This window comes from Homo sapiens, chromosome 17 (assembly GCF_000001405.40).
Source record: "Homo sapiens chromosome 17, GRCh38.p14 Primary Assembly".
Lineage (NCBI taxonomy): Eukaryota > Metazoa > Chordata > Mammalia > Primates > Hominidae > Homo > Homo sapiens.
The window spans coordinates 20,045,399-20,062,547 of record NC_000017.11 but is presented as its reverse complement, the minus strand read 5'-3'; the positions used below and the strand labels follow the sequence as shown (position 1 = coordinate 20,062,547).

Below are 17,149 nucleotides of genomic sequence, written 5' to 3'. Positions count from 1 at the left end.
AAAAAAAGTTTTTAAAAATTAGCCAGGCACAGTGGCACATGCCTGTAGTCCCAACTACTTGGGAGGCTGAGGTGGGAGGATCACGTGAGCACAGGAGTTCAAGGCTGTGGTGAGCCGTGATCACACCACTGCACTTCAGCCTGGATGAAAGAGGGAGAACCTGTTTAATTTTAAAATAAAAATACCTGAAATTTTTTGGATGGAAATGTTAAGCGTTTTAATGCACAAAGGTTAATGCTACGACTGTTACGGTATGTTTAGACTGGAGAACAAAATTTTTTTTTTTTTTTTTTTGACGACAGAGTCTTGCTCTGTCACCCAGGCTGGAGTGCAGTGGCGTGATCTCGGCTTACCTCAAGCTCTGCCTCCCAGGTTCACGCCATTCTCCTGCCTCAGCCTCTCGAGTAGCTGGGACTACAGGTGCCCACCGCCATGCCTGGCTAATTTTTTGTATTTTTTTAGCAGAGACGGGGTTTCACCGTGCTAGCCAGGATGGTCTTGATCTCCTAATCCACCCGCCTCGGCCTCCCAAACTGCTGGGATTACAGACGTGAGCCACCGTGCCCGGCCACAAAATAATTTGAAATAAAGACATAGACAAAATAGTTTATGGATCTGAAACATAATAGGTAAGAAAAAGGAAAAATAGAAAAGTAAGTAGCAAAGTGTAAACTGGATATGATACAGGAGAAAATAATATATACAAAGCATTAGTTCCAAGAGGGCAAAAATGCTGTCTTGTCTTTCAGAGTGCCTAGCACACAGCAAGCCCTTAATACATATTTGTTGAATAAATGAAAGAAAAATGGGACTGAAGTCAGTAAGTTATAGAAAACATTAAAAAATTTATGTGATTGGTAAGGAGAATAACTTAAAGACCTTCCAAATGTATCTGTCAAGAAATCAATTTCCTCATAGGCCTTGCTTAGCCAAGATTCCTGAGTGATGATCAACTAGGGGATTTACTTGTTTATAGCAATCAAAGGTTCAAGGTTCCCAAAGGTTGCATCTTTAAGGATCTACCAGGTGCACTCTCAGACTGGCCTCTACCATGGTCCTTGCCACCAAATGGCTACAGCCCAATGTACATACAACCTGCAGATGGAGGACATGTAGAGGCCCATGGAAGTTCAACAAAAGCTACACTGGGAATTCCTATTTCAAAAGAAACAAATGGGCCAAGTATGGTGGCTCATACCTGTAATCCCAGCACTTTGGGAGGCCGAGGTGAGTGGGTCACTTGAGGTCAGGAGTTCCAGGCCAGTCTGGCCAACATGGTGAAACACTGTCTCTACTAAAAATACAAAAATTAGCCGGGCGTGGTGGCGGGCACCTGTAATCCCAGCTACTCAGGAGGCTGAGGCAGGAGAATTGCTTGAACCTGGGAGATGGAGGTTGCAGTGAGCCGAGATCGCGCCACTGCTCTCCAGCCTGGGTGGCAGAGTGAGACTCTGTCTCAAAAAGAAACAAAGAAATAAATGAAACAATTTTGTTCACATATATTTCACAAATTTGAAATGTTAAAGGTATTATGGTCACTGATATCCTGTTTCATTCTTTATATAATCATTAAGTTTGAAATGTATACTTGCACTACTAACACAGTAGTTAATCTTAGTCCTACAAGTTACTGCTTTTACACAATATATTTTCGTAATATGTATGCACTGGTGTTTATGTACGTGTTTATGTTTATATCTGTTAAAATTAGCAGTTTCCATCTTTTTCTATTTTGTACCATCACATCAGTTCAGAAGGATTGACAGAGCAAAATGATTTGATGAAGTATAAAAGTCACATGGTGAGTGGCATAAATACAACTCTGAACAATTAGGAGGCTCACTATTGACTGGAACTAAACTGCAAGCCAGAAAGACACATATCCTATATGTCAAGAGATGTACCACCCAGGCAGTTAAAGAAGGGAAGTACACATAGAAAGCACAATGGTGAATAATTAAAAAATTGGAATTTATCAGACACTGGATTCATTTGCTCCTAAAGTCAGAGTCCTCTATTGTTTTTTTGTTTTTGTGGGTTTCTTTTTAAATTTTTTTATTTTTTGTAGAGTCGGAGTCTCACTGTGTTACCCGGGCTGGTCTAGAACTCCTGGCCTCAAACAAACCTCCTGCCTCAGCTTCCCAAAGCATTGGGATTACAGACATGAGCCACTGAGCCCAGCCCAGACGCTTTAGCATTTATGAAGCTTCTGAAATAGTTGTAGAAACCGCATAAGCTTTCCATGTCACTTTCAAAGTTTGATGGTCTCTTTAGTAAACCAACCAAGTTATTCCTCAAGGGCAAAATAACATTTCTCAGTGCAAAACTGATGCACTTCATTACCAAAAGGAAAAGACCACAACTATAGAGGCGTCATTGAAAGCTGCACTCTTCAGAGGCCAAAAAAAAAGGTACAAACACATACTAATGGAACATTCTTTAGAAGAGCCCCAAAGTTAATGATAAACATTTTCATCAAAGAGAAAAGAGAACAAGGTGTTAGCAAATTCCTCTATCAAATAACACTAAACATCAAGGAACATCAATGGCATGCCATGTGGAAGAGGAAGTGCTAGCTCATGTACAAACCAGTAGATAATTTCAACTTGCTGCCGAATGAAACCTCTTTGCAAGGTATGAATCAGCACTTCTCATGTTTGTTTTGCTTTGTTTTGTTTTGTTTTTAGAGACAGGCCCTTGCTCTGTCACACAGGCTGGAGTGCAGTGGCACGATCAGAGCTCACTGCAACCTGAAACTCCTGGGCTCAAGGGATCCTCCTGCCTTAGCCTCCCAAGTAGCTGGGACTACAGGCCCACCATGCCCAGCTAATTTTTTAAATTTTCTATAGAGATGGGATCTCACTAGCACCTTTCATGTTTGATGTTCATATACAACGACCAAGGTACAATGTGGAAAAGGGTCTCAGGGATCTAAAGTGAAGGAGGACCAGAAAGAAAAGGGGTTGCTACATAGAGTAGAAGAAGTTGCACTTCATGCCAGTCTACAACACTGCTGTTTTCCTCAGAGCAGAGTTGATGATCTAAATCAGGGGTCCCCAACCCCCAGTTCATAGCCTGTTAGGAACCGGGCCACACAGCAGGAGGTGAGCAATAGGCAAGCGAGCATTACCACCTGGGCTTCACCTCCCGTCAGATCAGTGATGTCATTAGATTCTCATAGGACCATGAACCCTATTGTGAACTGAGCATGCAAGGGATGTAGGTTTTCCGCTCTTTATGAGACTCTAATGCCGGAAGATCTGTCACTGTCTTCCATCACCCTGAGATGGGAACATCTAGTTGCAGGAAAACAACCTCAGGGCTCCCATTGATTCTATATTACAGTGAGTTGTATCATTATTTCATTCTATATTACAATGTAATAATAATAGAAATAAAGGCACAATAGGCCAGGCGTGGTGGCTCACACCTGTAATCCCAGCACTTCGGGAGGCCAAGGCAGGCGGATCACGAGGTCAGGAGATCGAGACCATCCTGGCTAAAACGGTGAAACCCCGTCTACTAAAAATTCAAAAAAAAATTAGCCGGGTGTGGTGGTGGGCACCTGTAGTCCCAGCTACTCGAGAGGCTGAGGCAGGAGAATGGTGTGAACCTGGGAGGCAGAGCTTGAGGTAAGCCGAGATCACGCCACTGCACTCCAGCCTGGGCGACAGAGCGATACTCTGTCTCAAAAAAAAAAAAAAAAAAAAAAGAAATAAAGTGAACAATAAATGTAATGTGGCTGAATCATTCCAAAACAATCCCCCCACCCCAGTTCACGGAAAAATTCTCCCACAAAACCAGTCCCTGGTGCCAAAAAGGTTGGGGACCGCTAATCTAAATAATCTAATCTTCATTCAATGCTAAAAAATGAATAAACTTTTTTTTAAATACACGGTCTCACTTTGTTGCCCAGGCTGGAGTACGGTGGCATGATCACAGCTCACTGTAGCCTCAATCACCCAGGCCCCAGCGATCCTCCCACCTAAACTTCCTGAGTAGCTGGGACTACAGGCACGCACCACCATGCCCAGCTAATTTTTAAATTTTTTATAGAGATGGGGGTCTCACCATGTTGCCCAGACTGGTCTCAAACCCTGGGCTCAAGTGATCCTCCCTCAAACTCCTGGACTCAAGTGATCCTCCTTCCTTGGCCTCCCAAAGTGCTGGGATTACAAGCATGAGCCACTGTACCCAGCTGGATAAACATTTTAAGTCGCACTACAGTCATGGACAATCAGGCTTTTCAACATGCAGTATGGACAGTGAGTCCCAGGGTCTGCTTTTCCATACTGAAATACATGTGATACTAAGGAGAAAGGTGCTCGCAAGGATATTTAAAATGAAGAATATTTAAAATGAGGAAAAAACTGTTTCTTCATGACTTTGATAAGGCTGATAAAGACCATTTCTGTGATCTCAGGTGATTCACTCAAGTAGTATATTTCAGTAATCATTATCTGGAACAGCCTGAATCTTAACCAAAATACCATGATTTTTTAATGCTGTTATGATACCTTGATGATATGACCAAACTGCAATGTAGGCAGCTAAATCTCCACGAGTTTGACTTCCCCGAGAGTTGACAGTTTTCTTCACAAATTAAAGAAATATATTTTTTGATACATGATTGGCATATTTAAAAACTACACTGAAATGCTGCAAAATGATATAAAGAAACATTTTCCAGAATCAAATGCAATCAAAGAGTGGATTAGGAATCTACTCACCATTATCAACTAAATAGAAACACTTGGACTGGGTGTGGTGGCTCACATCTGTAATCTCAGCACTTTGGGAGGCCAAGGCAGGTGGATTGCTTGAGGCCAGGAGCTCAAGACCAGCCTGAGCAACATAGCAAAACTCTGTCTCTACAAAAAAAAAAAAAAATTAACCAGGCATGGTGGCAGATGCTTGTAATCCCAGCTACTCTGGAAGCTGAAGTAGGAGGACTGCTTGAGCCCAGGAGATCAAGACTGCAGTGAGCCGTGGTCATGCTGCGCCACAGCCTGAGTGACAGAGAGAGACCCTGTCTCAAAAACAAAAACAAACAAAAAACACTTAACCTTCCTGTTTTTTGCTGTTGTTGTTGTTGTTTGTTTGTTTTGAGATGGAGTCTCACTCTGTTGCCCAGGCTGGAGTGCAGTGGCGTGATCTTGGCTCACTGCAAGCTCTGCCTCCCGGGTTCACGCCATTCTCCTGCCTCAGCCTCCCGAGTAGCTGGGACTATAGGCGCCCGCCACCACGCCCGGCTACTTTTTTGCATTTTTAGTAGAGATGGGGTTTCACCGTGTTAGCCAGGATGGTCTTGATCTCCTGACCTCGTGATCCACCTGCCTCGGCCTCCCAAAGTGCTGGGATTACAGGCATGAGCCACCGCACCCGGCCAACCTTTCTGTTTTTTAGTTTGATATGCTTGTTAACTCAGCAGCTGAAAGAATGCTGAAAGTGGCCTTCAGTAAAAAAATTTCACTAGAATCTCTACATCCATATTTAATCTGAATGCATATCCAGATTGATCAGTTAGAGCAAAAACACTCATCATCATTCCTGATGACCTCTAATTCTGGTTTCGGCTTTCTATTTCAATGGAAACAGAATAAGGAAAGAAATGGAAGGGCTCTGGAAATTTGTCCTGGGCTATAGATACTATCAAAGATCACCAACAATAAGATCTCTCCTATAAATATAAAACAAGTATAATTAATTTTTTAATTATTTTTTTCTCTTCAGAGGATTTTATTTCAAGATAAAACATAACTTCTACCCATACTATTGATTCCAAAGGTTAGAAAAAGTGTTTTTCCTCATCTTATCCTTCAAAGAGGTCACAGCAATGCAAACATCTATAAAATGCCTCTGCATAATTGTCAGAAGCTATAGTCCAGAAATCATTGAAAATGCTTTTCCATTTTAAGCTTAGGTGAGGTGTCTTAGGAAACCTCTATGACAACTTACTCTATTTATTGGGAGGTAAACTCCCAGACTCTCCCAGGGTCTCCTGTATTGATCTCATTTTTTAGGCTTCCTAATCCCTTGAAGCACAATCGAAAAAGCCCTGGATCTCTTTTCTGCACATATCATCGCGGAATTCATTCGGCTTCCAGCAAGCTGACACTCCATGATACAAGCGGCCTCGCCCTTCTCCGGACGCCAGTCCTTGCTGCGGTTAGCTAGGATGAGGGGTTTGCTGGGCTTCAGTGCAGGCTTCTGCGGGTTCCCAAGCCGCACCAGGTGGCCTCACAGGCTGGATGTCACCATTGCACACTGAGCTCCTGGCAGGCTGTACCAATTTTTTAATTATTTAATATTTATTTTTAAAATTATGGTGAATATTTTGGTATTCTGCTCTAAAATAGGCCCATAAATGCACAGCAGATATCTCTTGGAACCCACAGCTTTCCACTGGAAGAACTAAGTATTTTTCTTTTAAAGATGCTACTAAGTCTCTGAAAAGTCCAGATCCTCTACCTCTTTCCATCCCAAACTAAGACTTGGAATTTATGAGAGATCTAGCTAACAGAAATCCCAGACACATCATTGGTTCTTCCCAGAGTGCAGTCCTCCTAAAGAGGCTCAGCCCTAAGCAGGCCCCTGCACCAGGAGGGTGGGTCTGAGACCCACATAGCACTTCCCAAGGTGCATGCTCCAGAGAGGCACTGAAACAGCTGAGCACAAGCCTGCAAGCCTGGAGAACTCTCACAGTCAGAACGGAGGGGGCCCAGTGGGACTAACATAAAGAGAAAAGGGAACACAGAGAAATGGATGGCACCAACAACCAGCAAAGCCTTCATGGCCAATGAAAGCATCAGTGACGGGGCCAGAACCCTCATCCCCAAAGACTCTTCACTGCCTTTAGTGAAAAACAATGGCTAGAGAGTGAAGTTATGATCATGTATAGAGAGGTAAAGTTACATTTTTATATTCTGACTCTGCTAATGTGAAATTCCCTATCTGCTAGACTAAAAGTTTCAGACACCCTGTTCAAATATCCCATTAGTTGCTAGAGACTTAAAATGAACAGAACGCACATTGTCAGGATGACTATTACCAAAAAATCAAAAGACAGCAAGTATTGGTGAGGATGTAGAGAAACTGGAACTTTTGTGCACTGTTTATGAGAATGTAAAATGGAGCAGCTGCTGTGGAAAAGAGTATGCAGGTTCCTCAAAGAGTAAAACCAAGATGTGGAAACAACTAAATGCCCATCAGTGGATGAAGGGGTAGACAATATGTGGTATATACATACCATGGAGTACTATTCAGCCTCTAAAAAAAAAAAAGGAAATTCTATAACATGCAACAGCATGGATGAATCTTGAGGACATTTTGCTAATGAAATAAGGCAGTCATAGAAAGACAAATACTGCACGACTCCACTTATATGAGATACCAAAAATAGACAAATTCATAGAATCAAAGAGTACAATGGAGGTTACCTGGAGCTGCAGGGCGGGAAACGAGGAGTTACTAATCAACGAACATAACGTTGCAGTTAAGTAAGATGAATAAGCTCTCAAGATCAGCTGTACAACACTGTACCTAGAGTCAACAATAATGTATTGTACACTTAAAAATTTGTTAAGGGTAGATTAACAAATGTAGTAGATCCACAAATGTGGTTAAGTGTTCTTACCACAGTAAAATAAAAAAAGAATATCAAGCCCAGGAGTTCGAGACTAGCCTGGGTAACATGGTGAAACCCTGTCTCTACAGAAAATACAAAAATTAGCCAGCTGTGGAGGTGCACTCCTAGGGAGGCTGAGGTGGGAGGCTTGCTTGAGCCCAGGAGGTCAAGGCTGCAGTGAGCCATGATTGCACCACTGTACTCCAGCCCAGATGACAGAGCAAGACACCACCCCCCCCAAAAAAAGAAAAAGAATATCAAACATTTTAAAAGATCAGATACGCAAGAACAACAACAAAAAAGAGATGAACAGAGCATCGACCCTCATCTAGTGGGATTCTTGGTCTAACTGAAAAACAGACATTGAGAGACAAACAATGACAGTGATGTGATCACAGCAATTACACAGGTATCCCCTGGGGACTGCAGAAGAAAGGAGGAATGCCTAACTTTCAGAAAATAGAGAAAGCGTCAAACAGTTGGTGAAAGCCTTCCAAAACTAGAGAGAACTGCACACACCAAATCACAGAAAGAAGAAAAGCCGTGGGAGATTCTGGGACCCACCGGCTATTTTTGATGGCTGAACACCCTGCTGCAGGAGAGACAGGAGCTGGAAAGCATGGTGGGATGAAACCTCAAACAGCTTTGCCTGCATTGCTTAAGATGACTGGGCTTGATTAACTCTAGTCAATGGGGACAATTCAATCAAAGAAGAAAGATGCTCAAATTCACATTTTAGAATGATTTTTTATGGCAGTATGGGGAATAGATTAAAAGAGAGTGAAGCTGGAGGCAAGAAACTTGTTAAGAGGCAACTGAAACAGTCTAGATGATAAATAATAAACTGACAGAGTGACTAGAAAAATCAGAACAGGCTGAATCAACAGATACCTAGATGAAAATAACAGGACTTGATCACCAGTTGTATCTTGGAGAGGAAGGAGTTGTTTCCTTGCTTTCCCTACGACTGGGAATACGGAAGGTTTGCCGTGTGTATTGGTTATATACTGGTGTGTAGCCAATCACTGACAACCATTTAGCAGCTTAAAACACAAAGGCTTATCTCCCAGTTTCTGTGGGCCAGGAATCTAAGATAGGCTTAGCTGGCTGGTTCTGGCTCAGAGTTTCTCAAGAGGTTGCAATCAAGATGTCAGCTGGGGTTGCATCATCTGAAGGCTCAACTGGGGCCGGAGGGTCCACTTCCAAGGAGTTCACTCACCTGCCTGACAAGGCAGTGCTGGTTGTTGGCAGGAGATCTCAATTCATTGCCAAGTGAGCCTCTCTATAGCATTGCTGGAACATCCTCCCCATCTGGCAGTTGGCTTCTCTCAGCATGAGTGATCTGAGAGAGAGAGCAAGGAGGAAGCCACAGTGTTCTTCCTACTCCTACTCCTAACACTATGGACCTACTCCTAACACTCTCACTTCTGCCTTATTCCATTAGTTAGAAAGGGAACTAAGCTCCACCTCTTGAAATAAGAAGTGTCAAAGAATTTGTGGATATATTTAAAAATCATCACACTGTGGAAGTGGATAGGGGGTTCAATTAATGCTGAACTTGAAATGCCTGAGACATTCAAATGTCCAACAGGCAATGAACATACCCATAGATGGTCATGACTTTAGCAAGAATAGAGGAAGATCACAGAATTAAGGAGGAATTGAAAGGTAAAAGAAGTGGAGTCAGATTCCCCCTGAAAAGTGAGCCATGAAAGGAACTTTAACTATTGAGTTAGAGGTCAGAGTAGGAAATTTCGGTGGAATTCTTTTTTAAAGAAAGGAACCATATAAGCATGTTTTGAGGTAGAGGGAGAATAAATCAGTAGACAGGGAGAGGTAAAAAACATAAATGATAGGGGATAGTTGACAAAGGTCTTGGCAGAATCCCTTACCCATTGACTTGGGGCCAAGAGAGGGACACTTCTTTGTTTGAGGGATAAGGAAAATAAGAAAGAATGGGTGCTATTTAGTGTGGTCCTGTCTCTAGGGCAAACGCATAGGTAACAAACTGTGTGTGTTAGGAATATAGATGTGACCTCACATTGAGATTCTCACCTCAAATCCATTTTGTTGTTACCTGTACCTTCCTACCTTCTCTTTTTGCTACATGCAGACTGCTGTTTTGTCTTCCTGGCCTGTTCCAGGTTTCAGCATTCTGGCATATCTGCTACCCTGTTCCCAAACCTCTCTAGAGTCCATGCTCCTTCCTTGGATAGTGTTTGATTGGGCCACGTATCTAAGAAGTGATGCCTTCAGTTAGGCCTGAGAACCTCCTCTATGGAAATCTCCATCAGTGACCCTGACAGACTTGGTATCTTGGAGATGTCACTGCTCCCAGCCTGTGGTCTAGGAGAATCTCAGCCTGGGCCTCTAGTAGTATGGATAAGGCGTTAAGGTATCTTTGAACCAGAGTCTGTCATATTCCTCAATGTGGGACAGATAAAACAGTGGTAGTGCTGGTGTTTCTGAGCTAGAACTCTGGTTTTTGGTCTAGATTCTTTGATGTATGACCTTTCAGAGGTATTAAAATTTGTTCTAATACAATGTTCAATACAAATGTAGTTCCTTTTCTGTTAGGACCTCAACAAAACATGACCAACTGTAGATGAACATTAAACTATGACAATTCATGGAAATGAATACAGTAATACCTGCGGTTCCCCCATTTTAGCAGTCACTATGGTGACATTTGGCACAAATGGCTATTTAAGGGTGCTTTTGTTAAAACCTACCATCTTACTAGGCACATGATATTGAAACTAATGAAATAATGGAGAAACTTCTTAAAAACTTTTAATGAATAAAGTGATGAAGTGATAATATTTTAGCTGCTATTTATAAAGTGACTATTACAGGTCAAACATTCTTCTAGGGTTTTTTTGTTGAAGTTGTCACATTTAATCCTTAATAACCCACTATGAGTCAGGTATTCTTCTCTCCCCTTTGGACAGTTGGGGAAATGGGGGTCAGAGAGGTTAGGTAATTTGCTCAGGGCCACACAACCTGCATGTAGAAAATCTGAGATTTGTACAGGAACGTATCAAACTCTGAAGTCCATGCTTCTATTTTCCCATGCTGCCTTTCTAATAAAAGGTAACTAATGCTACTGGATGCTGCCCCCAAAGTGAGTCACTTTCACCCCACCCTACTTGATTTTCTCCATAAAACTAATCACATCCTGACAACTTATTTATTGCTGATCTCCCCCACTAGATTATAAACTCAATAAAAGCAAGATCCTTGTCTGCTGAATATCAGTACCTAAAACGCTGTCTAGCACAGAGCAAGTAATTAATATTTGTTGAATGAACAAATAAAGGAAAAAAATTCAAAGGAAGAAAAAGCCCTAAAACAGATGTTTACCTAAACATACATTTTAAAAGAAAGCATATAACAAATTCAGGACAGAATTTAAATTTGATTTTTTAAAGAAATAACCAAGTGCTAGCTGGGCACAGTGGCTCACACCTGTAATCCTAGCACTCTGGGAGGCCGAGGCAGGCAGATCACTTGAGGTCAAGAGTTCAAGACCAGCCTGGCCAACATGGTGAAACCTGTCTCTACTAAAAATACAGAAATTATCCAGGCATGGTGGCAGGTCCCTGTAACCCCAGCTACTCAGGAGGCTGAGTCAGGAGAATTGCTTGAACCCAGGAGGCAGAGGTTGCAGTGGGCCAAGATTGCACCACTGCACTCCAGCCTGAGTAACAAAGCAAGACTCTGTCTGAAGGAGAAGGAAAGAAAGAAGGAAAGAAGGAAAGAAGGAAAGAAGGAAAGAAGGAAAGAAAGAAAGAAAGAAAGAAAGAAAGAAAGAAAGAAAGAAAGAAAGAAAGAAAGAAAGAAAGAAAGAAAAAGAAAGAAAGAAAGAAAGAACCAAGTGCTTATTTGGGACCTACTATGCTATGTTTTTCCATGCACGCTATTTTCAGTAAAGCAGTTAGCAAACTTGCAAGATCATAACAACAAATATATGCTTCTATAACTCTAAAATTGTGCTTTAAGAAGTTCCTCTTTACCAGCTCATGTATGCATTAGTTTTCTAAGAGTTACTAGTAACTTTTTCCCTGGAGAATATCCACAGCCAGTTTATTTAACCAAAGGAGGATGCTTACTAACATGAAGTTATCAAATGTGAGCCTAAGTTGGGCCAGTTCATGTTAATATACTCCAGAACAAAAACCATCCTACTGTCCTCTGACAATTTTACCTGAAAATTCATTTTCCACATTACCAAGGAGCCAGGGTAGGAGAATATAGAAAGACCACCCAAGAATCCTTACTTCTTTCAGCAAAATCAATTCAAAGTAGGTAACTAAACACATGCCCTAACAATGAATAGCAGATTGTGCTCAGAAGAATGATCTACAACATCTTACTGTGAAGGAACTACTGAAATATTCCAATAAGACTTCTCTCCAAAATGATTTTATTGAATTTGCATTTTAAAAAATATTTTAAGCCTAAATTTTAAAAGGTTTGATATTGGTACATGAATAGACAAACAGACATGGACTAGACCAAGAATTAGGTTCAAACATATACAGGAATTTAATATACGATAAATCTAGTATTCCAAAGGAACCAACAAATGGTGTTCAGACAGCAGGATAGGCATCAGGAAAAACACAGTTGGGCACCCTACCTTACTCCTAACACCAGGAGTAACTGAAGGAGCACCAAATATTTATTTATTTTAATTATAGTTTTAAGTTCTAGGGTACGTGTGCACAACATGCAGGTTTATTACATAGGTATACATGTGCCATGTTGGTGAGGAGCACCAAATATTTAAAAGAAAAAAATTGGCCAGGGGCGGTGGCTCACACCTGTAATCCCAGCACTTTGGGAGGCCAAGGTGGGCAGATCACCTGAGGTCGGGAGTTCGAGACCAGCCTGAGCAACATGGAGAAACCCCATCTCTACTAAAAATACAAAATTAGCCAGGCATGGTGGCACATGCCTGTAATCCCAGCTACTTGGGAGGCTGAGGCAGGAGAATAGCTTTAATCTGGGAGGCACAGGTTGCGGTGAGCTGAGATATTGCACTCCAGCCTGGGCAACAAGAGCAAAACTTCAACTCAAAAAAATTAATAAATAAATAAAAATAAAGAAAGAAAAGAAAAAAATGAAAATAGTATAATTAGCAGAAGAAAACACCGTAGAATCCTCGGACTCTTAGGATGGGGAATGCCTATAATATAAAAACCCTGAAGTTATAAAAGAGAAAATCACCTACATACAAACCAAATCTTTCTACATGCCTAAAACATAGCACAAACACAGCTAAATAATCATAGCTGAATGAACTGGGAAAACAAAACTTGACTCATATCCAGACAGAGTTAATTTTCCTACACATAAAGAGTACCTATATAAACCCAACAAAAAAACCACCACTAACCCAAAATAAAAATGTGACAGGTAATGAACAGGTAGTTCACAGAGAATACAAATGGCTCTTCGGCACATAAGATGCTCAGACTGACTTTTACTTATTTATTTTTTGAGAGACAGGGTCTCACGATGTTGCCCAGGTTAGGCTCAAACTCCTGGGCTCAAATGATAGTACCAGGACTACAGGTGTGCCCCACCGCACCTGGCTCCTCAACCACCTGTATTAACAGGAAATGCAAAATAAAACTTTCAAATCTATTTTACCTATTAGAATGGCAAAAATTTGAAAAACTTCAAACATCATCATGTTGGTGAGAATGTGAGGAGACTGGCACTCTCATTTTTTGCTGATAGCATATATATACTGATGGCTTCTATGGAAAGCAATCTGGCAGCGTCTATCAAATGTACAAGTGCATATATCCTTTGACAAAGCAATTCCACTCTAGGAATGTGTTCTATATGGTTGTGCTTCCTGGGGCTGGGAACTGGGAGCTAAGGGACAGGGGCAGAAGATAATCTTCTTTTCCCTCCTTCCCCGTTAAACATGTTGAATTTTATATACTGTAATATATTATTTTTCACAAAAGATAATTTTTAAGCGATATGTCTGGGAATTTTTTTTTTTCTTTTCTGAGACAGGGTCTCACTCTGTCATCCAGGCTGGAATGCCATGGTATGATCTCAGCTGACTGCAGCCTCGACCTCCTGGGTTCAAGCAATCCTCCCACCTCAGCCTCCTGAGTAGCTGGGACTACAGGCACGTGCCATCATGCTAATTTTTGTATATACAGGGTCTCACTATGTTGCCCAGGCTAATGTCAAACTCCTAGGCTCAAGCAATCCACCCACCTCAGGCTCCAAAGTGCTGGGATTACAGGCGTGAGCCACCGCGCCTGGCCCTGGGAATTCTTACAAAAGAAAAAATATCTACTCTCCCCTTCTATTAAAGTCAAAACAGAGAAGGAAATTCAACCTATAATGAAAGTAGAGAAGGGCCTCAACCCTGAGCAACAAACACAAAGGCTATTTCTGAGACAGGAATTTGCTGAACAAAATCGAGGGAAGATGACAAGAATCAAGACTCACTTCTCGGCTGGGCGCAGTGGCTCACACCTGTAATCCCAGCACTTTGGGAGGCCGAGGCGGACAGATCACGAGGTCAGGAGATTGAGACCATACTGGCTAACACAGTGAAACCCAGTCTCTACTAAAAATACAAAAAATTAGCCGGGCGTGGTGGCAGGTGCCTGTAGTCCCAGCTACTTGGGAAGCTGAGGCAGGAGAATGGCGTGAACCCAGGAAGCGGAGCTTGCAGTGAGCCGAGATCACGCCACTGCACTCCAGCCTGGGTGACAGAGCAAGACTCTGTCTCAAAAAAAAAAAAAAAGACTCATTTCTCTAGATCTTGAGCCGTATTCAAATTTATCTCAGCTTAGTGAGAGGTTAAAGCAAGGAATATCCTTCCCTGTGGGCCCTGCTCCTTACTGAAGGAAGGTAACGGATGAGTCAAGGACACCAATGGAGAAAAGCACTAACACCATTATCTGATGAACATTACGTGAAGAAGGGTAAGAAGTGAAGTGGAATTGCTGAAGAAGTCAGTGAAAGCGGACATTCATTTGGGGAAATGGAATATAGGAAATCCATAAAAGTGATTAAAAAGATGTTAGAGGCTGAGGCGGGGGGACCACAGGGTCAGGAGATCGAGACCATCCTGGCTAACACGGTGAAACCCCATCTCTACTAAAAATACAAAAAATTAGCCAGGCGTGGTGGCAGGCACCTGTAGTCCCAACTACTCGGGAGACTGAGGCAGGAGAATGGCATGAACCTGGGAGACGGAGCTTGCAGTGAGCCGAGATCACGCCACTGCACTCCAGCCTGGGTGACAGAGTGAGACTCCATCTCAAAAAAAAAAGTTAGATACGAGAGATAAAGATCCAACAGACACACAACTGCTAATTCTGAACAGAACAAAACAAATGGCACAGGAAAAGAAAATTTAAGATATAACACCGGAAAACTTTCCTGAAATTGAGTAACTGAATCTATAGCTTGAAAGGGTTTAGCATATGCCAAGAAAAATCAGTAGAGTCCAACCAGCACAAGACACATCTAGCAAGGCTGGTGATTCTACCAACACAGAGAAAGAAGTGGGTGACCCATAATGCGGAAAAAGGCAGACCATCTGCAGTCTTCTCCAGAACACTGGAGTCTGAAGACAAAAGAATGCTGCCTACTGAGCCAGAAGGGAGAGAAAGTGACCCAACACATCTTTACCAAGTTAGAATGTCACGCATTATTTAAAGGCTGCAAAAGCCATGAAAGACATGAAAGAACACAAGCATTTACAACATGAAAGAACACAAGCATTCTCATACTCAAGAATCCTTAAGAAAAATGTAGTCCTAATCCAGCCCACTGAAAGTTAAATGTACTTAATGTGCTCATTAATGGGAACTTCATAGCTTCAAATCAGTCTGGTCCCATCTACCAACATCTCTCGCCCGGCTTTCCTGCAATAGTCAGCACCTTTCCCTCCTCCCAGTCTTGTCCCCTGGAGTCTGCTCTCAGCATAGCAGAGTGACCACATCAACACCCAAGTCAGAGCCCTCCAGTGCGCACTGGTCTACAAAGCCCTTCCCACCCCCCACCCCACGTGCCCTCCGGATCCTTGTGACGTGTCTCCTGCATACCCTAGCAGCCCTGGCCTCCTCACTGCCCCTCCTGTACATCAGGAAGGCGACTCCTTGAGTCTTGGCTCTGGCCGCCTCCTCCACCTGCAGTGAGTTAACTCCCTTACCTACTCTAGGTCATTGCTCAAATGTCAGCATCTCAATGGGGCCCTCCCTGACTACCCTATTTAAATTCTACATACTCCCCTTGACCCCATGGACCTCACTCACCCTATTCCACTTTTATTCTTACAATTTAGCACTTGTTCTCTTCTAACGTATTCTAAGACTTACTCATTTATTACATTGTTTGCCACCCCCTCTAGTACATAAACTCCAGAGGGGCAGGGATTTCTGTCTATTTATTCATTTCTTTATCCCTAGGACATAGAACAGGGCATAGTTCAGAGTATTCAATGTTATCAATGAATGAACTAGCAGTAGTACCAGTTCCAGTTAGGCACAGAATTAAATCTAAATAGAATTAAATCTCATGGTCTGGGTTAACTATGGATAGAAAATTAGATATAATTTTAAGAAGCCTAGAAAGAAAAAATTAATAATGTAAAAATAATATTAATTTGATAATAATAACAAAAACTCTGCCAGGCACTGTGGCTCAAATCTGCAATCCCAGCTACTCAGGAGGCTGAGGTGGAAGGATCACTTGAGACCAGAGTTCAAGACTCAGCCTAGGCAACACGGCAAGAAACTGTCTCTAAAAAAATTAAAACTTAAATTTTTAAAAAAGAATTCTCAAAGCGTCACAAAAACTGGAGATTAAGGTACAGGAAGTGTGAAGTAATATTACTATGCTAATGGTTTTTTTTTTTTTTAGAAAGGTATAACCAAAAGATTTCTTTCTCAAGTCGATAAACTGAGAAAGATAAGCATATCTTCCAATTAACAGAGGGGGAGGAAAAGCCAGATACAACAAAATAAGATATAAATTAGTTTCCAGTTGAAAACAAGAGTAGGAGTTATTTTGCATCACCTCACCTGTGACCTCCCCCAGCCCAAAAAACACTACTGATAAACAGGGTAGAAAAGCATCATCTCAGATAAAGCAGGAAAAACTGCCACAGTCTCAAACCACAAACTATAAGCACACACCTGGCCAACCCTGCCAAGTCTGGGCTCAGTAGGAGGAACGTGCTGAGAGCTAGGATGTACCAACTTAGACATTCTGTGGGATACAGATGTCCCTGGAAGGGTCACACCATCTCAAAGGCACCTGTAATGCCCACTGATTACAGCCACCATATGTGAGAGAGAAACTCAGGGCACTTAGAGAGTATAACAAGAACCTTATGTCATCTGAGATGAGGAATCCTCAGCCCTGCAAATTAACCAACTCTTTAGAACAACTGGCAAAACATAAATATCCACAACTTTTGTTTCAGTAATTCCACTCTTAGATATCAATCCAAAGTACATGAGACAGCAGATA

At 42.0% G+C, this 17,149-nt stretch overlaps 1 protein-coding gene and 1 long non-coding RNA gene across 21 annotated transcripts in view, besides 2 other annotated features; both read right to left on the bottom strand.

Moving 5' to 3' along the window:
- SPECC1 (sperm antigen with calponin homology and coiled-coil domains 1) overlaps positions 1–17,149 on the bottom strand; it is a 309,668-nt gene that overhangs the window by 256,479 nt on the left and 36,040 nt on the right. For 3 of the 20 annotated variants that reach the window (NM_001386083.2, NM_001386084.1, XM_047437061.1), the window contains one exon: positions 4,731–4,871. The exons of 16 other annotated variants lie outside the window; for them this stretch is intronic. Coding sequence is in view for 3 of the 4 variants with exons in the window: in NM_001386084.1 (NP_001373013.1) it covers positions 4,731–4,733 (3 nt within the window). In the remaining variant the exon portion in view is untranslated. Of the gene's footprint in view, positions 1–4,730; positions 4,873–17,149 lie in introns of those variants that run through there. One more of the 20 variants, XM_047437062.1, reaches the window with a different exon arrangement.
- Positions 2,413–2,492: an enhancer, noted in NCBI's record as "active region_11865". NCBI's record gives its function as "activates an Ori minimal core promoter by ATAC-STARR-seq in GM12878 lymphoblastoid cells {active_cell/tissue: GM12878}" and the evidence as "EXISTENCE:reporter gene assay evidence [ECO:0000049][PMID:35858748]".
- LOC100131943 (uncharacterized) lies at positions 5,719–7,250 on the bottom strand. The gene has a single exon (XR_001753087.3). It is a non-coding gene; the product is annotated as an uncharacterized LOC100131943 (long non-coding RNA).
- Positions 8,598–8,892: an enhancer, noted in NCBI's record as "tiled region #5861; K562 Activating DNase matched - State 24:Quies". NCBI's record gives its function as "activates a minimal TATA promoter and a strong SV40 promoter by Sharpr-MPRA in K562 cells {active_cell/tissue: K562}" and the evidence as "EXISTENCE:reporter gene assay evidence [ECO:0000049][PMID:27701403]".